The sequence below is a fragment of the Homo sapiens genome, chromosome 10 (assembly GCF_000001405.40).
Source record: "Homo sapiens chromosome 10, GRCh38.p14 Primary Assembly".
In the NCBI taxonomy this organism is placed as follows: Eukaryota; Metazoa; Chordata; class Mammalia; order Primates; family Hominidae; genus Homo; species Homo sapiens.
In genome coordinates, this window is record NC_000010.11 from 16,762,198 (window position 1) to 16,786,519 (window position 24,322).

Below are 24,322 nucleotides of genomic sequence, written 5' to 3' on the forward strand. Positions count from 1 at the left end.
GAAAACGTAAATAAGACAATTATGATGATAACAATAGCTAACTAATACTAGGTACTGCTCAGTATGTGCCAAGCACTGTTCCTAGTGATTGAGATTTTATATATATATATATAAAATAGATATAATGTGTACATATATTTCATTTAATAAATGAACAAATTAACAGTAAGAATATACATCTATATGTAGTTTTAGCTTCTTTCTCACATACAAATTAAAGATCAGGATAGAATAGCCTGTAAAACCAAGATATAAATGGAGCATCTTTTCATTTCTGCTTTGCCAGATGGGTATACAGGCTCCAAATTTGTAGGGAGAAAAAAAAAAAAACCATCTCATCTCAAGCGATGTTCCTCCCTCCTTTTAACTTCACTTTCCCTCAGACATAAGAATAAAGGCTGCCCATGGATCTCATAAAGTTGGTCCCTAAGCCCAAGTGAACTTCAAAATAATGTGTCTGACCAAATTCCTTGTGGGAGCAATAAACTAAAAATCACTCCATGAATGAGATTTTTTTTCATGACTGCTCCCTATTATATTGGCAAATACGGCCAGACGCAGTAATCCCAGCACTTTGGGAGGCGGAGGCAGACGGACATGAGGTCAAGAGATTGAGACCATCCTGGCCAACATGGTGAAACCCCATCTCTACTAAAAATACAAATATTAGCTGGGCATGGTGGCGCACGCCTGTAGTCCCAGCTACTCGGGACGCTGAGGGAGGAGAATCGCTTGAACCCAGGAGGCGGAGGCTGCAGCTAGCCCAGATCGCCTGGTGACAAAGCAAGACTCTGTCTCAAAAAAAAAAAAACAAAAACAAAAAAACCTGGGAAATACCTGGCCAGCATCTATTGCCACTCCACGTCAATCACTAACTTAACTAGAGCATTTAGTGGCTACAAATTTAATGAACATATGACTTTGCACAGAGACTGCAGCATGAGTGGGCAGTTTCATCTGATAGCTGCGCCAATGAAGATGAAATTCTGATGCCGCAGTTCCGGTTGGGGTCTATGGATCTATTTGTCTGTTCTCCCATTGCTATAAAGGAATGCCTGAGGCTGGGTAACTTACAAGAAAAGAGGTTTAACCGACTCGTGGTTCTACCGGCTGTATAGGAAGCGTGGCAGCAGCTGCTTGTGGGGAAGTCTCAGGGAGCTTTTACTCATGGTGGAAGGCAATGCAGGAGTATGCTTATTACATGGCAGGAGCAAGACAGCACAAGGGGGGAGGTGCTACGCACTTTTAAACAACCAGGTCTCACAGTAACTCACTCACTATCACAAGGACAGTACCAAGAGGGGATAGTGCTAAACCATTCAGGAGAGCTCCGCCCCCAGGATCCAATCACCTCCCACCAGGCCCCACCTCCAACACTGGGGATTACAATTCCACATGAGATTTGCTGGGGACACAGACCCAGACCATAACAATGGGGTCTGAAGGAGCCTTCAGACCCAGAACCATCTTCCCAGCTTGGCCGCTAACCTCAGGGGTGACCAGGAGCCAGGCCCTTAGCCCCTTTGAAAAGGCTTGGCTTCCTCTGTATACAATGAAAGCACTAAAACCTGCCCTCCGTACCTCACAAATGTTGAGAGGGTCAAGTGCTGCAAAGCAATACACAAAAATAGATTATCATTATTATTATTTACTGCTCCCTGGTTCTGCAACCTCAGCTGAATCAAAACTCCTCTCTTCACCTTTGCATAAAGAAAGACAGGACTGTCACCTCTCAGCTAAAGAGAAGAATTGCATAAATGAATGAAGCATCATTAGGGAAAATATTCTTCCCTCCACGGCACGAAGGTGCTTTGTAAACTATTCCAATTTAACACAGAGAGGAAAAAGAAATCAGCCATATTACCACTTGTCCGCCAGTTCATGCTATGCAAATAAGTCCCTTCTCGGTCAGCAGAACTGAGATAAAATTTTACTGGACAGAAAATACAATAAAAATTTAACTTCCTTATTGCGCCAACAATTAGCCTCTCAATTAGCTCTCAAATATGCACTAATGTAGGCCACTGAAAGAATATATTAAAACAATAAAATTTTTTTAAGACCCAAAACATAAAAAGAAATTAGAAATCCATTTCTGTGCAATAATATAAAAGGAATCCCTCCCCTGGCCTTACCCGGCATGCCCCTTCCACTCTCTTCCTCTCCATCCTTTCCGCTCCACTGATACTCACCCAAGGTTCAGGTGTTTGAGTTTCTGAAGGCTACTGATCTGTGTGGGCAGCTCCTCGATTTGGTTATTAAAAAAGTTGAGCACCTCCAAATTCTTCAGTTCTGCGATGTTCGGTGGCACCACTATGGAAACAAAAATGCTGAGTGTGAATCTGGGAATGGAACTCCTAGCAAGGGATGGCAGCGGCACATTTTGTTTTTCTTTCAAAGCAAAGAAAGACATAACTTCAAAAGGGCCATCGAATTCACCTACCGGTCTTATTTATTTTTTACAGGTTTTTCATAAGCAGTCACTCACTTCTGAGTGGCTGCTTAAATGCTTCTTCATATATGGTTAGCTAAGTGCTTGGCATAGTTTGTTTCAGATGGACAATGAGGGGGGAAACAGAGCAAAAATGCACAACAGAGAATTTCTGTACCATAAACAGCCTATAAAAATGAATATTAAGAAGCATATATACTTATGGTTGTCATATACGATCTTCTAAGTGCAACTTTTTTTTTCCTTTTGGTTTTCTTGCATTGCCGTCAGAAGAAGAAATGCTTCTTCGTATATGATTAGCTAAGTGCTTGGCACAGTTTGTTTCAGATGGCTAATGGGGGGGGAGAAACAGAGCAAAAATGCACAAAAGAGAATTTCTGTACCACAAACAGTCTATAAAAATGAGTATTATGAAGCATATATACTTATGGTTGTCATATATGATCTTATAGGTGCAATTTTTTTTTTCTTTTGGTTTTCTTGCATTGCCACCAGAAGAAAGATGGAGATCTCCAAATCCCTTCCGGGATGATGTACATTGAAGCTGCTTAAATAACCCAGTATCTGAAAAGCTGTCCTCTTAACATTGCATTAATAACAATATAAGCTCAATTTTAAATGATGAAATATTCACCCTCCCTAGTTTCTGATTTTGGCCTCTGGAGTAATTTAACTTGATCAGTAACACACACACACATACATACATATACACACACAAAGGTTACATCAGATTAGCAAGAGATCGATACACTGTTATTATATAGAAATACAAAAAGTCAACTCAGTAGCATGCTATGAATACTAGTATTCAGATCAAAGGTGAAAATCAGCCACTGGGGACCTGAAAGGTTCCTCCTTCCCTAGAATATATACATTTGAAAATACAAATGTAAAAGCCAAAGGCATCTTTATCTTAAAAGCACAAACTGTAAATTGGCAGCAGCAGGAGTTTCCATAGACTGTAATTCATCTATCCCACTTGCTATTCAGTCTTTCTACAAACATTTCTGTGGGTGATAAGCTTGGCCATGGTTCACGTAAACTCTGATACCAAGACTATCCAGATAACTAAGAACATGAACAGGGGCGTGGAACTCAGCCTGAGAAAGTGTGATGTCTCTTATCAGTCAGGTTTACTTCCCATCCCATCTGCTTCCTCCAGGGGTGCCCCAGGAGGCTGGGAGACCAACCTGCTTCCTGCAGTCAGACCTAAACTCAGACCCGGGAGCACCTGTGATTAGAACCACCACAAAGGTGTGTGTAAAATGCCAAACATACATCTAAAATATTTAAGCAGCTAGCCATTTCAAGACGACCAATTGATAACTCCCAGGGGAACAAAAGTAAAGGGACAGGCACGTTGCTTATTATAGTTTTGAGTCATCATTTTGAGCTTTCTGAAATGTCTAAGGTATCACTGGCCTTTTAGAGGTAAGGCTTGGTGAAAGGTAAAAGAGATGCTTTCACTGGAAGAAGGGACTGTGAAGAATACAGATTACTCTGAACTGGGGCACACGGGCAGGGAGCAGTGGTCTAGTGAGCGGCCCCTGCGCGAGCTCCGGAAGTGGCCGTTGATAAAAGAACAAGTTTTCATCGGGTAATCTAGACAGCTCAAAGTTCCTCCAGAACCCTCCCTCTGGGATACCTGCAGGAATGCAAATGAACCCTACCTGTACAGTGTGGCTGCAAATGTACATTCTTTCTTAGGTGCACAGTCCATGGAACACTTCTGTGTAAATGAATGGTATTCACTGTGTGTAAGGGATTACCAAGAAAATCACCAGGGCCGGGAGCGGTGGCTCACACCTGTAACCCAGCACTTTAGGAGGCCGAGGTGGGTGGACTATCTGAGGTCAGGAGTTCAAGACTAGCCTGACCAACACGGTGCAACTCTGACTCTACTAAAAATACAAAAATTAGCTGGGCATGGTGGCAGACGCCTGTAATCCCAGCTACTCGGGAAGCTGAGGCAGGAGAATCGCTTGAACCTGGGAGGCAGAGGTTGCAGTAAGCCAAGATCATGCCATTACACTCCAGCCTAGGTGACAAGAGTACAACTCTATCTCGAGAAGAGAAAAGATTGGCCTGGTGTGGTAGCTCACTCCTGTGATCCCAGCACTTTGGGAGGCTGAGGCAGGTGAATCACCTGAGGTCAGGAGTTTGAGACCAGCCTGGCCGACGTGGTGAAACCCCATCTCTACAAAAAATAAATAAATAAATAAATAATTAGCTGGGCATGGTGGCGCATGCCTGTAGTTCCAGCTACTCGGGAAGCTGAGGCAGGAGAATCGCTTCTGGGAAGCAGAGGTTGCAGTGAGCCGAGATCAAGCCATTACACTCCAGCCCGGGTGACAAGAGTGAAACTCTATGTCCAAAAAAAAAAAAAAAGAAAAGAAAATCACCAGGCTGTGCCTTCTGGGTCACTGGATGTCATCTTCTCCCCCCAGATCATAAAGTATATACATTACAGCTGCCCACAGACCTCATCCCTCCCCTGTCCACCCTCCAGCTACCACTAAGCCTTCATCTGATTAGTTTGAAGAGCACATTCATCTGATTAGTTTGAAGAGCAATAAGGAAAGTTAGTGAAACCAGGAGAAAATGATGATCTCAATTTAGCCACAAACCAAGAATAATGCAGCCAGAATTACTGCCGTCTTCCCGAAGTTACTCTGCCAGTGCAATTAAATGCTGGTCTAAAGGTATCGCCTTTTTGACAGGATGAGAGATTATTTCACTCTCCTTGCTAAATCAGTCCAATTTAAAACCACAAATTATGCTAAATGTGATTTAGGGCTTTGTTTTGTGAACGCAAACAATAACCCCATATTCAATTTACAAAACCTCTCCCAGCCTTTTGGTGAGCATGTGAATTTTTCGTTTAAGACTCCATTCAAGCTAGACGAGGAAAAAAAAATAATACACAGCTAATAGTCTCCCTCAATATACGGAATTTTTTTTTAACCCCCAGCCATAGTGAAAATCTAAAGAAATTAACATGCAGACCCTTCTGGATGGGATGGTATTCACTCTTTGAACCAATATTTAGAGAATGCTGATTAGGTGCACAGTGCCATACTTTGCACACACAGCATCTCAATACCTGGGAGATAAAATAGGAGAGGCATGTTATTTAAAGAAAGTAAGTTACAAAAGACAGGGTATCAAAGTCAATCAACTGAAACAGGCCTAGTGCTTGGAAAATAAACTACTCCCAACCAAACTCTCTGAAAAAAATAACCAGTTAGCAATATGAATTGTGCTATGACTAAATCCTATACATACGTGGCGGGAACAATTTTAGGTATTCCAAAAAGGCCACTGCAATATTTTACCAGTCAAAATATTCTACTGGAATTTTCTAGATATCTACAGGATGCATGAGCAAGAAGCATTTTAAAAGCTAACAGTGCACATCAGTATATTTCTTACATCTTTGAAACGATCCTTTTTCATCAATCTGTCCAGCTTCTGATCTATGACCCCAGCTGACCTATGACACCAAAGGAACTAAAGAGCAACGTGGTCCCTGACCCTACAGTGCTGTGTGTGCCCTCACTCAACTCATAACCTCTCTGGGCCTCTGTAAAATAAGAAGGCTGGATTATGACCATTTCCAAGGTCTCTTCCACCTCATTTTAACATTCTAGGATTCTAAAAGGAGATGGATTATGAAAATCAATGATATGGCTTTAAATAATTCAACAAATGGGGCTCTCAATTAGGAAGCTTAGTCATGTAGAACTTCGCTTCTGACAGAGAATTGAGTATCATTTTCTGCCTAGCCAAAGATGGCTGCTTTAATTTTGAGACTTCAGTTGCTAGGTTTGCGGGAACAGTCCCAGAGGACTCAGATATCCCCTGGCTCCTCAATGTCCCATTTCGCTCTAGCCACAGGATCACAGGACTGCTGGGGACGCTCTCATCCCAGAGCCTCTGCTGTTTTGGAAAGGTGACAAGGATGTGGTCACATCACCCCAGAGACAAATCTCAAAGTTTCTTCTGGACTTTGCAGCAGCAGTTCCGCCTAACACACCCGGCATGACCTTCTTTCCTTCAGGTCCTCCTAAACTGAAGAACTGAATGTGATTCAAGAGTTTTGTCCATCTGACGTGCCAGCCCAGACTTGGCAATTCAGCACTCCCATCTCCCCCAGCAGTTTCTGGAAGGTTCCACAAGCAGCCCAAAGTGCCTGAAGGGTTCATTAACTTCTCTTTGGCCAGAAGCACCTCCACTTTGCTGGACAGGCTGGAGAAACCAAAGTCCATCTGCGTGAAATACTGACACAGCCCCTTCCTGAGCAACAGCTTTACTCCTAAAAGGACATGTATCTACGGCCATCGGTAATACCTGCAACAGGCATGTGCCAGCCGGTACTGCACCACTGATGCACATTCACAAAATCAACAATCAATCAGCTCAAGAATAGGCTTCCCCCAACTGGTCAGCAGCCCACAAACTGTCTCCCCTCCATAGGAAGAATCAAAATCACCTGTTGTAACAATCGCAGTTTCAATTCTGTTGAATAGAGTAAGGAAGATTCTGTTCTATGATCTAAAATTAATAATTCCACAACCAACAACTCAAAGCATTTTAGGAGTTTATACAATAATAATTAGCAGGGTATGTTCTGGGCTGGGCTTTCTGTTGGACAGCCACTAGTTATATGCAGCTGTTTGAATTTAAATCTAGATTAATCAAAATTAAATAAAATGATGAATGCTATTGTTGGTCACAGCAGCCCCATTTCAAGAGCTTGACAGCCACATGTGGTGACCAGTGGCTCCACTACTGCATGGCAGGGATACTGACCGTTTCCATCACCGCAAAATGTTTTATTACACAGCCCTACCCGATGGCAGTGGGTCTCAAACCACAGAGACGTCAGAATCACCAGATGGCTTGCTAAAACACAGATGGAGGGGTATCCCGGAGTTTCTGATTTAGCAGGTTTAGGGTAAAGCCTGAGACTCTGAATTTCCAACAACTTCCCAGGGGATGCCGATGTTGCTGGTCTGGGAACCCTCTTTTGGCTCAGAAAACTTTTAATTCATTGGCAGCATCACGATTATCAATCCAACACATATGTCCCTTACCCCATGCGATAATGCGATGAGTATAATAATCAATCTGATCCAAATAAAGATGCCTCTTGAGCCTGGGGAACTGATGACACGTGAAACAAATGATACTCTAGGTAGCTTAACACGTTCAACGTGGATGCTACAATCAAACCCTTTCTAGTCAACTTCTGCTTCCCCATACAGCATTTTATGGTAAGATCACTGTTGCTTAAGACGGACAACTTTCCAGAGGAGAAAAGCCTTGAATTCCCTAGCACACTGAATTAAGTCACTCAGTGGCAAATTCATCATGACCAAGGGTAGTCATACAAAGAGATGTCACCTGCTCTACTGCTTGGCTTCAAAACACTGAACCCTAATGGCAGGATGCTGGGTGGTAGTGACGGTACAGACAGATCGGCTTGGGTGCAGCTGATTTGGGGGCTTTTTGAGCAAAAGCATCTTGGGGCCCTTGAGGCAAAAAAAAATCAAAGCCGTAAGGAGCGACAGACTCTGGGAGCAGCAGGCACCACGCAAAAAACATAAGGACAGGAGCTCTGCCTGGGTGCAGCCCACGGGAGGGTCAGGGGGTCACACTTTGGTCTTTAGAGCCATATGGTTACCACCGACAGCCAGGTCCTCTTCAGCTCCAGAAGGGCAGCACTAGACCCTGCACCATGCTAACACACACCCACGGCTGCCAGGAAGCCAGAAGCTGCTCCAAACACATGGCGCTTTCCCTCCGCAGCACAGGCATGAAATCTGGAGGTGACCTCCACCCACCATCTCCACCAAACTTCTGGGGAGTTGGGGGCTGCACTACACCCAACTGTTTTTGCAGAAGCACCAAAGGATGTTTTCAGAGCTGGTGATTCCTGAGCTAGGGCTGGCCCAGGGCATGAAAGCCAGGGGACCCAGCCTCTTTGAAACAAGTGAACTGATAGCTCAACCTCTGCCTCCAGTGATGGATTGTGAATTACAGCAAGGGGATGAAGAGGAGGACTTAAGGCAGGTACTTCGTGGGAGGCAACTGCTCACAGCCAGGGCCAGGACAGCAGGTGGCATCGCGGCATGTCCGCCCTTGTGCTGCAATGGAGGCAACGCTACTGTCTCGTGCCCATTTCCAGGAAGCAAAAGTGCCACCAATCCTTGGGCCAAAGAGTCCCCAAAGAAACTACATAGAATGAGTCACAGCAAAATGAAACTGAGTAGTATTGCTTCTAAAAACCTGACATATTGCTATTTAAAAAAAAAAAAAAAAAAAAAAAGGAAGTTTTTGTCTGTTGTCATAACAAATGAAAATGCCTGGGCAGATGTTCACAATGTCATATATTTCTGCAGCTTTTTTTATAAAGCATAGAAGGACAGAGGATGGCAGAGGATATTAAAATTAGCTTGTTATTTAGATAACTTAGTATGTTACATTACTACAACCAAGTCACTAGAAAAATTACTAAAAACATGAGAATAGGTGAAAATGAGTGAGGCTCTTCATTATATATACGGGAGGGGAGGGATGGACCATTTATGAGAAAATGGTGAAAGCAAACATTTCCTTGCCCCAGCATTTGATGAATATGATAGTGAAAAACAAGTGTCCCCCTTTGGCCTGAATGAAGTAAGGGAGGAAAAAATCAAATTAGCAGAAACTAGATGAAATATGACATGGGGCATCCATGGTCAAAGTAAAAGCACAGCCTTTTTAATCTCTAGCTGTAATAACTGGAGAACATGAGTCCATTCATAGCACAGAGGTGGTGTCTAGACTAATTACATACATGCCGATTCTTTCAGCAAATCATAGTTCTCAATGTCATTTTAATGATTATACATAAAGAAGAATCTTCTCACTCTCGCGTAGGAATAATTACATTCTTCAGCACTTTATATGCCAAAAAAAAAGGTCATTTGTAGTTATAGTGATTAATTACCTTTGTTTTCTGGCCAAAAACACAAGGTGGACAATAATGAACTAATTACATATTACCACAAGACTCTGATGTTCAAAAGTATACTAATGATAACTGTCTTCACAGATTTTATGGGATTTACCCCAAAGCAGCTATTAAAGCAGTGAATTACGGTAGTTCCAGGTTATTTAAAAACATAAAGTTTATGAAACAGTAAAGCAAATTCTCATTTAAAAGGTTCTACATGTTCCTCAAGGTAAACATAAAATAGCAAAGTATCTAAGCATCTACGCCAAGAAAGGCCAACATCCTCCAATTATTAGCTTTATAAATAACAATGGTAATGTACTTTTGGTTAATAAACAACAAGTATTACTGGGGACCTGTGCCCCAAAAGCACACGCTCACTCTATGCTATCATGAGCTGCCTCAGGATTCTATAGCCTAAGTCATTTTAGTAAACAAAAATATCCCCTGGCTTAACTCACCGCAAAACAATGGCCCTACTCTTTCACCAGCAATGTGAAAAATCAATTACGTGAAAATTAGAGGAAAAAAGGCATAAGCAAGTGATAAGGTCGATTTTAGAGGATAAAGCCAAACATGCAAAAATGTATGTTCCTGAGCTATAAAAAGTATGTATGCATAACCAAACAAATTTCCTAAAAAGCTGACAAGTATGGATTTCTTCTCCTCTGAGGATATAAAAATTAGTTAATGCCTGAATCTTGTGTTAACTCCCAAAGCATCTTCAGGAGGACGTATGAACTCTGAAATCTTGCAGGAACACCACTTCTAAATTGCACTACAATTCTGATGTGCGACCCCTCCAGCAAAGCCATACATCAATAAAGAGCTTTAATTGGGGAGCTGGGAGGGAGAGGCAGCACTGAGAGGAAAGGAAATGGCATTCAGTGGCCTGGGGAGGAAGTGACATCCAGCGAAGGGTAAGAAAAGGAAGGGTAGGAAAAATGCCTAGAAAATTCCAAAACACTGGAAAGAGAGAGGAGTAGAATATGAAAAAAAAAAAAAAAAAAAACAAGAAAAAAAAACTTCAATCCATCAATGGAAAAAAGCAGTCTCAGTGTTATAAAAGGACTGATCTAGGCTCTTTTATATGAGTACATGCCTTTACTATGTATAATATATATGGATGTATATCTACACATAAGCCTCGATTATTAACATTACAAGGTAGATAGTCAGCAAGTCACATTCTATCTTGCACTCTTTTACATGCACACAGAAAAAGCACGTTTTGTCATTAGTTTCTGTCTTCTTTCACAATTAAGAATTAATCTAGGCTGGGAGCAGTGGCTCACACCTGTAATCCCAGCACTTTGAGAGGCCGAGGTGGGTGGATTGCTGGAGCCCAGGAGTTTCAGACCAGCCTGGGCAACAGGGCGAAACCCCACCTCTACAAAAAAATTAGCTTTGCATGGTGGTGCATGCCTGCAGTCCTAGCTACTCCGGAGGCTGAGGTGGGAAGATCACTTGAGCCTGGAGGTTAAGGCTGCAGTGAGCTGAGATTGCATCACTGCACTCCAACCTGGGCAACAACTTGAGACCCTGTCTCAAAAAAAAAGAAAAAAAAAAAGAAAAGGAATTAATCCATCAAATCCATCAAGAGGCCACAAGTGGACTGCTTCTCTTCCTACCAGACCTTATGTTTAGGGTCACTGCATGAGGAGGGCAGGAAGGGGAGGAAAAGGAAGAGGCCCAGGGCTAGGAAAATCCACCAAATCCACATGGGAGCTTTGATCATTCCCTTCGAAATAACCCAACTATGGCTTTTAACCTTAGGAATTCTCCCGTTCTTCGACTGGAAGGAGTAAGGATCCAGAGCCACAGGAACGCTTCGTCCATGGAGCTCCTACACTGACCTAACGGGACGTCAAGTGCACACACAGATCACTTGCAGAGGCAGCAGGGGACACGGCGGAGCAGCCACTTGGAAGCTGTACAGAAAGCTCTGTCGCCTCCTCATTCTGGTCACTTAATCACTTTACACCTGCCTCCTCCACGTAATACAGAGTGGGGGTTCAACAAATTCACTCTTTTCTCTTTCACTTCCTGCTGAAGTTATTATATAGGTGTTGTTCTTGATGGTCCCACAGGCTGTGGGGTGCCTTGTATTTCTTTCCACACAGTGCTGGTTCAGTTGGATGAAAAGGAGGGCTTCACAGAGAAAGATGAGCATTCATCTCAACTTTCTGAAGGATAAGCCAAATTCAGAGAAAGGGGTAGGAACATCAGTTTTTTTAAAAAAATCAGGTGACTAGAACAAAGAATAGATAGGCAGGGGAAAAAAGCTAAAGAACCAGCAAAAAATTAGACAAAAGAGGGTTCAGACTGAAAACAGCAAAACGCAAGGTCAATGAGTTTGTTACTGGTTATCAATTGTATCTGAGTGGTTTTGGTCTATGAGGCTGACTGATGAACAGAAAGAAAAATGGAAATGGGAAAGGTATTCCGTTAAAAAAAAAAAAAACTGCATATGCCCATATGCCCACACACGTTCTGTTCAACCCTGGGAGCTACAGGATTGCAAATTCTTATTTAACAAAATGTAAATTTAAGCAGATTAATAAGATGGCACTTATCAATATTTTTTAAAAAGTCATCAAGAATGAGTTCTGTGATGCATTAAAAATCATCTAAAGTTTTATACAAATCTCCAAGGAGCATCTCCTTTAAGAAATAGCATCACTAGGCCGAGGCAAGCAGATTGCTTGAGGCCAGGAGTTCAAGACCAGCCTGGCCAACATGGTGAAACCCGTCTCTACTAAAAACAAAAACTAGCTGGGCATGGCAGTGCACACCTGTAGTCCCAGCTACTAGGGAGGCTGAGGCAGAAGAATCGCTTGAACTCGGGAGATGGAGGTTGCAGTGAGCCGAAATCACGCCACCGCATTCCAACCTGGGTGACAGAGTGAGATCCTGTCTCAAACAAACAAACAAAAAAATAGCATCCCTATGTCCACACTGCATGCAAACATACTAGTGTTATCTTCATCCGATTCTGGAGTTTCTAAATCTGAGCTGCATGGACCTCTAAAGAATTCATGGATGAACACAATGGGATCCACAAGCCTCTGCTGGAATTACAACCATCACGTGCACTTCTCTACAGATCAGGGTTGTAGTTTTCACTCTATTATTTAAAAAGATCAGTGACTTAAGAAAAGTTAAGAAGGCTGGGCACAGGGGCTCACAGTGGCCTGTATTTCTGGTACTTTTGGAGGCCAAGGCAGGAGGACCACTTGAGCCCAGGAGTTTGAGTCCAGCCTGGGCAAATTAGCCAGGCGTGGTGGTGCACATCTATCTAGGAGGCTTGCTTGAGCCCAGGAGTTTCAGGTTACAGTGAGCTAGGATTGTGCCACTGTACTCCAACCTGGGTGATAAAAACACTATCTCTAAAAAATAAAAACATAAAAAAAGAGAAGAGATGCTCTACAAGAATGTATGTACCTAAGTATTGCACCTCTTAGTGTATCTCCTCTATCATTCTGCACACATACTCACATGTACACACACATCAAGTGATATAGGAGAGAGGGCATCAACTGAAAATGTACGTATAATATTTTGCTATTAAATCAATTCTGTTTGATAGACATTCTATCATCAATAGCAATAGAAACCTTTTTCAGGATCAGCCCCGCACATGGGCTAATTATGAGTTGGAAAGTGACAGGCTTACACTCCCCCGTCTTATTTTCTCCACAGCCTGCCACCGTTCTGAAGTTCTCACGATTGGGGTGGTTCCATTTAAAAATATATTGTGGAGGAATTAGCACGTTAGCTGGCTTCCGCTTAGCACAAAACAGGACCTCTAGAAAAAGGATTCTAGAACAGGTACATTTTGGTTGGTGGGGCTGACAACAAAAGGAATGGGGGTGGGGGGTGGCCACAGTCTACAAGCTGAGGACAGATTAGATGCCACCGGCAGGACACGTCTTCGACTTCATTCGCTGGCCTTGGCTGCACTGGTTCTGGGTTCCTGGGTCAACAGACCCTCCCATAGCATGATCTCAGGTGCTCACTCACTACAGCCAAAAAATCGCAACACATGCCCAACTGCCAGTGCTTTTTTATGGTAACCTGACTACCGGTACCATCAGATAGATATTGTTTAATTAATAGCTGTTAGACTCAAAGATACTATGCATATTTTTTTAACTCTCATCTTTTAATGATGGCAGAGAAGCAAACTGATAAATGTGCAGTAATTTAAAAAAATAAGTTATTGATCAAAGCCTCTGTATTATAAACACATTTACACTCTGTTAAAATGCGAACAGCAAGTTGTTTTGATATTGTCACAAGATAAATTCATGACACAGAGACCATTTATTTTACATATTCCCCCCTCATGGTTTAATTTCATACAAGCCATGCACAAGAACTTTTGCATAAAGCATGACAAATAATCTATGAAGGAGGGAATAACTACAGACTTAAGAACAGCAAGGTCTGAGAAGAGTGGTGAAGGTCGTCCTCAGGAATTCAGACAGTTAATTCTTCTCAATCATCCCAGCAATCTATTATGTCTGCATAAAAAGGTTTCAATGTATTATGCTTTTTAAAAACTGCTAAATTTTCTTCATTATAATTGGATCTACAAATTTTAAGAATGCAGTATTTTCATGTGAAATATGCTGCTTAATTTGTTTATAATATGACTTATGGTAGATAATCAATGTATACATCTGCATAAAATTTAAAAGTATTAAATTCTATGTACTTAGAATATTATCTTTGATAAATAAATTATTGAAACCACCAAAGAAGGTATCTTAGTATTTCTTGTTTGTTATAATTCTAAATTCATACATAAGCTGTAACTAATAGGAAATAGTGTATATTAAAAAAAAAAAACCCACATTTTGCCATAAAACTTAGGTTTACTACCTGCCTGGCCATTTCCGATGCATTAAATGATGAGATATGGTCACAGTGAAGACCTGAAATTGTAGGCAAAACTGCCAATACCTCAGGAAAAGGTTTTACATGGCAGTTAAAAGTATAAAACTAAACAATTACATTCAGAGACCCACACTTTTGAAAAGTTTTACATAAATGTCGGCTCCTCAATGTTTGCACAGAGCAAAAAGATATCCTTGGTTATTTCTTGCACAAAATGACGAATGTCTAATCCTCAACACACATGGGTCACAAAATTTAAAAAAAAAAAAAAAAACTACTGCCGTATTTAAGCCCATCATTCCTTGGCTCTATGATTGTAAAGATGAGATGGCCATCATTTACTGGACATAAGGTCATATTTTTATTTTTTTTTAATTTTTTTTTTGAGATAGGGTCTTGCCCTGTCACCCAGGCTGGAGTGCAGTAGTAGCTTGCAATGTTTACGTGTGGGTTTTGCTGTTGGAATAAAATTTTTTTAAAACTTAAGGAAAACTTCACTTAAAAACGTAATGCCCAGAGCTTGTTTTATCACTGCTACAGAATGCAATTCATTTCCTGTTGTACATTCATTTCATATTCTCCCCAACACAATGGAATTGAGCAGTATACGAATCAGCATAAATATGCACAAAATACACATTTTCCTGATTTTTACAGTTATTTTTGAATTAAAATCTGGTTACATAAATACTTCAAACTTTCTTCCACAGATTAAAAAAAAAAACTCAAATATGCCCAATACAAAATACTATGGAAAGCAGTATAATTCTTTCAACGTAAGGATATTGGAGGAAGAGAAATGTTTCTAATTTGAGAAAGTAGCCATAATAAACACTAAAAAATGATACGTGAAACTGAATATTTTCATGGTAGGAGAACAAAAAACACAGCATACCTCCTTCTATAAGGATTTACCTTAAATGTGGTAAAAACTGCACTGTGTAAGCAGCAATAGCAACATGCCCTGTGGTGCAGGGCCGGAGAGCCTGCACAAAATTTATTCTCACAACAAAGGTGGTTTCTAATCTTTAGGTACAAAACCTGGAGGAGACATATGTGTCTCAACAGTGACCTCTAGTGGACAAGTCTTAAAATGGTTGTCCCCAAAAGAAACTCCTTTTTAAAAACAAAAAACAAGTAGGAAAGCATTTACAAAGCTCACACTTCCAAAACACCATAAAACCTAGGGATTGGATTAAGGAGCAGACTAAAAAAGACTCAGCTGACAGTGGCTTGAAAGGGAGGGTAACCACAGAGGCCAGGGGCAGGAAGGAAAAGCAAAGAAACACAGGAAGATGACCTTCGGCATTATTGCTGCCTTCCCACGCATCTGAGCGGTCATGAAAACAGTTTCCCTGGCTGCGAGTCCTTTGTGTGCCTGAGTAACACATCACAGCCCATCATTCCTTGGCTCTATGATTGTAAAGATGAGATGGCCATCATTTATTGGACATAAGGTCATATACCTTTTTTTTTTTTTTTTTTTTGAGATAGGGTCTTGCCCTGTCACCCAGGCTGGAGTGCAGTAGTACAATCACAGCTCACTGCAGCCTCAAACTCCTGGGTTGAAGTGATCCTCACACTACAGCCTCCACAGTAGCTGAGATGCCTGGCTCATGTTTTTTTTAAGAGATGGGGTCTTGCTATGTTGCCCAGGCTGAAGGTCATGTATCTTTAGAGCATCACGCTCTACCATGTTTGAAATGAGCACACAACGAGTAAGAAACAGAAGTCTGTGGCAGCCACATCTACTCAAGTCCCTATACCAGTTAATCCCAAAGAAACCATCTGATCCCAATGTTCCCCACTTTCTCTCCAGCCAGCAGTTTCCTCTCTGCCCTTCCCTGTCATTCACATACCTCCTGGGAGCAATGAACACTCGGTTTATACAGGTAATTACTGCGAAGCCACTAAGGGCCCAGTCACAGGCATTCAGGAAGAATATGAAATGATCCATGCTTCCACAAAAGCTGACCATCTATTTGGAGAGAGAAAAAAAACACAAAGGAAGAGAAGGACAGGGAATGCCATGCTAGAGTTAAAGAGTCTACATGCAAGAGAGTTTGGGGAGGAAAGGCTTCAGATGGGCCAGACCAGCCAGGGGGCCCCCAGGGGAGGATGGGGAGAGGCTGGTAGAGAGGAGGAGGGAGGAGGAGAGGCAGGCAAGAGTAGATCCTGGGCCCAGAGGCAGGGCTACGGGGGGACAGAAGATGATCCATCTTCCTAGAGCAGCAAATGGAGAGGAGAGGCTGGCATGGGATGTGGGGCAGATTAGGGCAGTTTCTGAAAGGCAGAGAGGGGCAGTGAGTGCATGAGAGTAAGCCAGCCTTCTGCCAGGTGCGTACTGCATCACAGGCAGGTGCTCAAAGAAAGCATTATTTCCGAAAGGATCTTCAATCTGAAACTCTTCCCATTGGGCCAGGATGGCTTTGCATTCTGACTTTGCCAATGACTTTGTTGCATTCAAAGTTAGTACCTGCCCATTCATAGCAAAAAGGCAGAAGAAAAAAATTCACTTGCAACTATTCTTCCCGTCTCCTTAAACACATCATGCATATATACATATCTAGGAAAGTTGCTACAGACAGATTAAGTCCCCCGCTGACTTCAAAAACCCATCAACGCTGCCCCAAGCTCCCAGGTTTAAATTCAAATAGGGGCACCATAATAGTCTTGGAGCATTAACAGCAATTAGCTTGACAATACATTAATATTTTTATGAACTGCAGTATTTAAAAGTTCAGGAATTTCTGCTCCCAGATTCTTGAGGAATTTCAGAATCACAGATCCCACTTTCAGCTTCCTTGTCGCCTCACTTTTACTGCCCTGGGTAGACATGTCAAGGCCAAAACCACTGGCAAGAAAAGGCAAGTCAACCACGTGCCACACTGTTTCAATAACCCTGTAGATCTTAAGTCAGTGGAGTCAACAGTGTCCCCAAATCAATGTCCCAGTTTGAGTAAACCATTCATTCCTTCCATGAGTACATAAGTGGAAATGTCAGAGAACGGTGTAATTGGCATACTAAGAGAAAAACATGAATACTTTTGCAAGATAAAAGCAGTGCCGGGTGAGGGGGTGGGGGAGTTATCTTTTGAGTCCCTGTGGTTTTAATGTGGCGTTGTCAGCTGGTCCCTATTAAAAACAACAGAAAGTGAAAGACACTGATTACCATAAAAAGTGACAGCAGGGTGTGCCTAGCCACTTACACTTAATGCATATTTATATTTCCATCAAATGGACATATTTACTATAAACACTTGAAAAACCATAGCAAAGTCATTCATTTAAATGCCAGAAAAATAGTAAAGGATGCTAATTTGACCTTACTGAAACAGATCGGGTGTCAGTGACGCTACTCAGGATGGCTTGAAACAGAATTTACCAAGACTATTAATTAGAGTTTACTGGATTAGGTCAAGAGTGTCTCAAATGGAGTGAAGAAAAGGAAAAAAAAACTGGCAAGGCAGAAATATAAAGTTTGGATTCTTTCACAGTCAGTCTCCTGAATGGCCAACACAATGTAACTCCACATATAAATATGCTCCTCTAAATTAACCTAATATTATAATGCCTGGAGGAAGAAACTGATCCATTGACTCCTGAGATTTCTATCTTTGTGAAGATGTAAAAAGAAATAAACTACAGTGATCTGAAAGATGTTTTTAAAGAAGAGATCAATGAATGATATAATAGAAATAAAGGTTTTGCTTTCTTCCTGTTGGAGACAGGGTCTACCTCTGTCGTCCAGGCTGCAGAGCAGGGTCGTCATCATGGCTCACTGCAACCTCGACCTACTGGGCTCAGCCTCTTCAGTAGCTGGGACCACAGGTGCTGGACCCACTATGTCCGGTTAATTTTTTGATTTTTGGTAGAGATGGGGGCCTCAGTATGCTGCCTTGGCTGGTCTCAAACTCCTAGGCTCAAGCAATCCTCCTACCTCAGCCTTCCTAAGTGCTGGGATTACAGGCATCGGTCACTGATCCTGGCCAGTTTTGCTTTCTTGTGTAAACTGGTTTGCACAAGATAAGCAAAACAAGGTATCATTGTTGTAACAATGGTAAGCTTAGCAATTAAGAAATACTTTACTAAACTACACAACAGAACATGTCAGTTATTACTGCTCACAAATCTTGGGGGATTTAGGAATCACGTGGTCCACGCTTCAAAACAGACCATGAATCCCTTCTGAACTGAGAATCTGGTCTCTGTGGACCACGGGACCATTTCCCAGAAAAACAATGGAACCGGCAATAAATTACCTGTTACAACAATGACCACACATGACTTGTAGGTCTCACTTTTGGCTTCTGTGGCCACCACTACTTAAGTGTGACAACTGTGCCGTCACTCTGCCTTTGCCTTACAAATATACGCTTTGGCTAACAACGACTAATCCACTTGTTTCTTGCACATGAGGGGACCCTGCTGCCACTCTTAATTCTCAATAATCAACAGCTCTGTGACATCGCTTCAAGCTGTATATAATGCACATACACACATAAATTCATGACACAAATCCCTCAACATGACATTCTGCTCAATTTCACTGGACTCGGAAAGCTCCTTCACAAATTCTTGCCACATGATTAGAAAATCATTCAAGTCTGCAAGAAAAATGGCAAGCAAAAAGAACTGAGTCATTAGGAATGGGAAAGGAGCGTGGGTCCCTGTCATTAAAATCTTTAAAGCCACAGCTCTACGAAGAAAACGGCCCATCATGCACACAAGATAGTCATATAAAAATAGGCATTCATCTATGCTAAGCAGATACGTCTACTGTGGGGCTCTATGGATACCCAGCAGAATTTTTCTTTTGGGGAAGCCAGACTCAAAAATTTGAAAAATGCAGATGTAAAGGTATATCATGTATACAATTTTGCATCTTTTCCTCCATCAAGCAGGGACAGAAAGTGTATTAAACAGTTAAAACTTTCCCTTTCGAGGAGGAAATATAAATGAAAACAAAGAACTTGTTCTAACAATTTCAAGTTTTCAATGCTTTCAAGTAAGTTTTGCTCATGAAATGCTCACCAATGGTCTGGCAATTCAGGTCAGCATAGCATTTACTATCTCTGAATGGAACCACTTCCAGAGCAACAATGTCATTTTTTTTCTCTTTGGTTTATAAACATGATAAGAAAGAATCTTCAGGCCAGGCGCCACGGTTCATGCCTGTAATCCCAGCCCTTTGGGAGGCCAAGGCAGGACGATCGCTTGAGCCCAGGAGTTCAAGACCAACCTGGGTAACACGGCAAGACCTTGTCTCAAAAAAAAGAAAAGAATCTTCAAAGTAGAGCTAACTACAAAAGGACAAAATACAGGATGACAATATTCTCATCTTAGTGTCACCAAAGTAAACTAAGGTTTCTGCAAATAATCATTCTTCATTAGTTTCTCCCAAGGAAACAGTAACAGACTCAGCAGTGCCATAGGATTACCTAAATGTCAGAAACTGTAACAAATGAGAAACATCACTTACTTGTTAGCTTGTTATGGCTGAGGACCAGTTGTGTGATATGGGATAAGGTAACTAAAAAGAAAAGAAAAAAAAAAAGGTCAGTCAGTAAATGTATCACTGTATCCGGATTCTACCTGTACTCCTACAAAGCAAACGGCAAAGTTATTTTCACAGGTTGAAGCACTATCGCTCACCAAAATAGAAGCTAGGATTCATGTAACACGATCTATTCAATGTTAAACCAAAGGAAGAAAAGGCATGCAACTAACGGTGCAATTAGCTCAGCAAGTTAGAGCTAATCAGATTAATGTCACAGAATCCAACATGACGAGGGCCAGTTAGCTCTGCGTGGCGCCCCGACCTGCTTGCCCAGCCATTAGTGATCCATTTCAATTATCTGTGCCAGTCAGAAAGACCAGCCAAGGGGGCAGAGGTGCACAGGGGCCTTACCTTGTGCTAAAAAATTTTAATTATTATTATTTTTGAAGCCACTTCATCCAAACAGAAACTTTATCTAGCAGAAGGCCGCCAGTGTTATTGCTTCAGCTATGTTCCGTGCCCATCCAGAAATTCTCCTCCATGGTATCAGATGATCAGAGTTGAAACCCTTCACAATTTCTTCTAAACATATTTTGGTTGACATTTCAAAGCACTGATTTGAAATGCAGATTGCTCTCTGGCTTCAAACATTATCATGGTGGTTTAATCTGCTCAGTAAGATTAGGTTTGCTTAAAGAATGGTTTTTCTAACTATAAATAAAGAAAATATATACAGAGCCACAAAAGTAAAAGAGAGAAATGATCTCCCCTCTACTCTGGGGTCTAAAACTTTACTGTATGTGTCAGCATTTACACACATATGCATATACACGTGTGTGTGTGTATGTGTAAATTTTTCCTATTTTTTTTTTTTTTTGAGACAGGGTCTCAATCTGTTGCCCAGGTTGGAGTACAGTGGCACAATGTCAGCTCACTGTAACCTCCGCCTCCCAGGTTCAAATGATTCTCCTGCCTCAGCCTCCCGTGTAGCTGAGATCACAGGTGCATGCCACCATGCCCGGCTAATTTTGTATTTTTTGTAGAGATGTGGTTCTCGTTATTTTGCCCAGGGTGGTCTCAAACTCCTGGGCTCAAGTAATTCTCCCACCTTAGCCTCCCAAAGTGCTGGGATTACAGGCATCAGCCACTGTGTCCAGCCTCCAATATTATTTCTTTAAGAACATTCTGTTAATGCAGTAGAGGTTTTTCCTTAAACGGATAAGATAAAAATTTTTCTCAGGAAGGGTCTCGATGTTGGGGCTCAGCACGCTTTGAAGAAAATATGCATCACTTCTACTGACCACAACTTTTGCTTTTTTTTTTGAGACTGAGTCTCACTCTGTCACCAGTTTGGAATACAGCCACGCAATCTCAGCTCACTGCAATTTCCGCCTCCCAAGTTCAAGCGATTCTCCTGCCTCAGCCTCCACAGTAGCTAGGACTACAGGTGCGTGCCACCACGCCCAGCTAATTTGTGTATTTTTAGTACAGATGGGGTTTCACCATGTTAGCCAGGATGGTATCCATCTCTTGACTTCATGATCCTCCCACCTTGGCCTCCCAAAGTGCTAGGATTACAGGCGTGGGCCACCGAGTCCGGCCGCATGTTTTTTTTTTTGTTTTGTTTTTTGTTTTTTCAAACCATTGCAAACTTATAGAGAAGTTCAAAATGCAATACAAAAACCTGTTTTCCCAGCTTGAACCACTGAGATTAAGCTGCTGGCCTGATGCCCCATAAAGTCTATGGTATATCTCCTACAAGCAAAAATGGACATAACCACAATACAACCATTAAAACAGTTAACCCAGTACATGAGGACCATCTAATCCTAGCCCCCATTCAAGTTTCTCCAAATGTCCCAATCATTTATTTTAGGGAAGAAATAGGATCTGGTTGAGAATTCACGCTGCAGGTAGCTGTCAGGTCTTTGTCGTCTCCTCTAAGCTGAGAATTTCTCTTTCCTTGACTTTCGTGACCTTGGCAATTGTGAAGATTGCAGGGGCAATTGTTTTGTATTATGTCCCTCTATGTACAATTTTTTTTTTTTTTAACATGACCTTGCTCTGTTGCCCAGGCTGGGGTGCAGTAGTGCAATTACAGCTCATTGCAGCCTCAGCATCCCAGGCTCAAGCAATCCCCCCACCTCAGACTCCCAAGCAACTGAGACCACAGGCTCACAGCACCATTCTTGCTTGATTTAAATGTTTTTTTGTTTTATTTTGTTTTGTTTTTAGAAATGGGTTCTCATTCTGTTGCCCAGGCTGGAGATTTGTCATTTGTTGATTCTTGATTCATTCATCGGTATTAGTCCATTCTGGCATTGCTATAAAGAAACACCTGAGACTGAGTAATTTATAAGAAAAGAAGTTTATATGGCTTATGGTTCTGCAGGCTGTACAGGAAGCACAGAAGCATCTGATTCTGGGGAGACCTCAGGGAACTTATGGTGGAAGGCAAAGCTGGAGCAGGCATCTTCACATGGGGTATTAGCCTGTTCTCACGCTGCTAGTAAAGACATACCCGAAACTGAGACTGCATAATTTATAAAGGAAAGAGGTTTAATGGACTCACAGTTCCATATGGCTGGGAAGCCTCACAATCATGGCAGAAGGCAAAGAGGAAGCAAAGGCACATCTTACATGGCAGCAAGTAAGAGAGCGTATGCAGGGGAACTCCCCTTCATAAAACCATTCGATCTCGTGAGACTTATTCACTATAACAAGAACAGCATGGGAAAGCCCCACCCCCATGATACAGTTACCTACCAGGTCCGTCCCACGACATGTAGGAATTATGGGAGCTATAATTCAAGATGAGATTTGGATGGGGACACAGCCAAACCATATCACATGGCCAGGGCAGGAGGAAGTGGGGCTTTGGGAGGAGGTACCACACACTCTTAAACAACTAGATCTCATGAGAACTCTATCACTATACAGTACAAAGGTGGTGTGATGGTTAATACTGAGTGTCAACTTGATTGGATTGAAAGATGCTAAGTATTGATCCTAGGTGTTCCTGTGAGGGTGTTGCCAAAGGAGATTAACATTTGAGTCAGTGGGCTGGGAAAGGCAGACCCACCCTTAATTTTGGGTGGGCACCATCTAATCAGCTGCCAGCATGGCCAGGATATAAAGCAGGTAGAAAAAGGCTAAACTGGCTTAGTCTCCCAGCCTACATCTTTCTCCTGTGCTGGATGCTCGCTGCCCTCGAATGTTGGACTCCAAGTTCTTCACCTTTGGAACTTGGACTGGCTTTCATTGCTCCTCAGCTTGCAGATGGCCTATTGCAGGACCTTGTGGTAGTGTGAGTTAATACTACTTAATAAACTCATTCACTCTCTCTCTATCTTTCTATATATATATACATATATACATATATATATATACACATATATACATATATACATATATATATACACATATATACATATATACATATATATATACACATATATACATATATATATATATAATATTAGTTCTTTCCCTCTAGAGAACCCTAATACAGGAGGGATGGTGCTAACCCATTTATGAGAACTTTGCCCCCGTGATCCAGTCACCTCCCACCAGGCCCCACCTCCAACACTGGGGATTACAATTCCACATGACGTTTGGTGGGGACACGGATCCAAACCATATCAGCATCTTTGGCAGGGATATCGCAGAAACACTGTGCTCTTGTCATGGCACCCTACCTAGGACACACGACTTCCATTTATCCCATTGATAAGGATCTTCACTTTGATCGCGTAAGTCTGCCTGGCCTCTCCATTGTCAATGTCTTGTTTTCCCCTCTTGTAATTAGTAAATTTGGGAAAAGGAGGACGGGTACTTTGACACAATGTCAATATCCTGTTCCTCACCAAACTCTAAACTTATTGTGTCTTTTGGTCCCCGATCAAGGCAACTTCCCCACCCCCCACAATTGGGATATCTGACAATGTCTGGAGACATTTTGGATTGTAACAACTGTGGCCACTAGAAAATCTAAAATTTCGTTGGTGACTGGCATTCTCTGTCTGCTGGATGGCACTAGTGTAAAGCACTGGTGTAGTGGGTGGAAGCCAGGGATGCTGACACACATCCTACATCACGCAAGGCAGCCGAACCCATGACAAAGAATCGTCCACTCCAAAAGGTCAAGAGCATTGGTGCTGGGAGATCATGGTTTATTTAGTTATACTTGCATGGCTTTGCAGCTTGCTATTTTAGCTGACGGGTTATAATCTATCATTATTATTTACAGTGATGGTTAAATTGCCCCTGATTTGGCCAGTATGAGTCCATCCAAGCTGGCTTATTAGTCCTTTCGACACACGCCCTCATTCTTGCAGCACTTTCTTGCCTTCTGACACAAGATATTCAGGTTCATCTTGTATTTTTTCTGCCACAGTCCTGGAATCAGCCATTTATCCCATGATCTCTGGTTCCTTTTTGTGGGAAATAATATTTATAAGCCAAAATT

General features: G+C 42.0%; 1 protein-coding gene across 3 annotated transcripts in view, besides 1 other annotated feature; it reads right to left on the bottom strand.

The window, feature by feature from the left end:
- Nucleotides 1-24,322, bottom strand: part of RSU1 (Ras suppressor protein 1) — a 226,814-nt gene that overhangs the window by 171,587 nt on the left and 30,905 nt on the right. For all 3 annotated transcript variants that reach the window (NM_152724.3, NM_012425.4, XM_047425617.1), the window contains 2 exons: nucleotides 19,837-19,887; nucleotides 2,193-2,313 (listed from right to left, as the gene is read on the bottom strand). In NM_152724.3, coding sequence (NP_689937.2) covers nucleotides 2,193-2,313; nucleotide 19,837 — 122 coding nt within the window. In that variant the 5' untranslated portion in view covers nucleotides 19,838-19,887. The remainder of the gene's footprint in view (nucleotides 1-2,192; nucleotides 2,314-19,836; nucleotides 19,888-24,322) is intronic.
- Nucleotides 17,553-17,602: a silencer, noted in NCBI's record as "silent region_2179". NCBI's record gives its function as "represses an Ori minimal core promoter by ATAC-STARR-seq in GM12878 lymphoblastoid cells {active_cell/tissue: GM12878}" and the evidence as "EXISTENCE:reporter gene assay evidence [ECO:0000049][PMID:35858748]".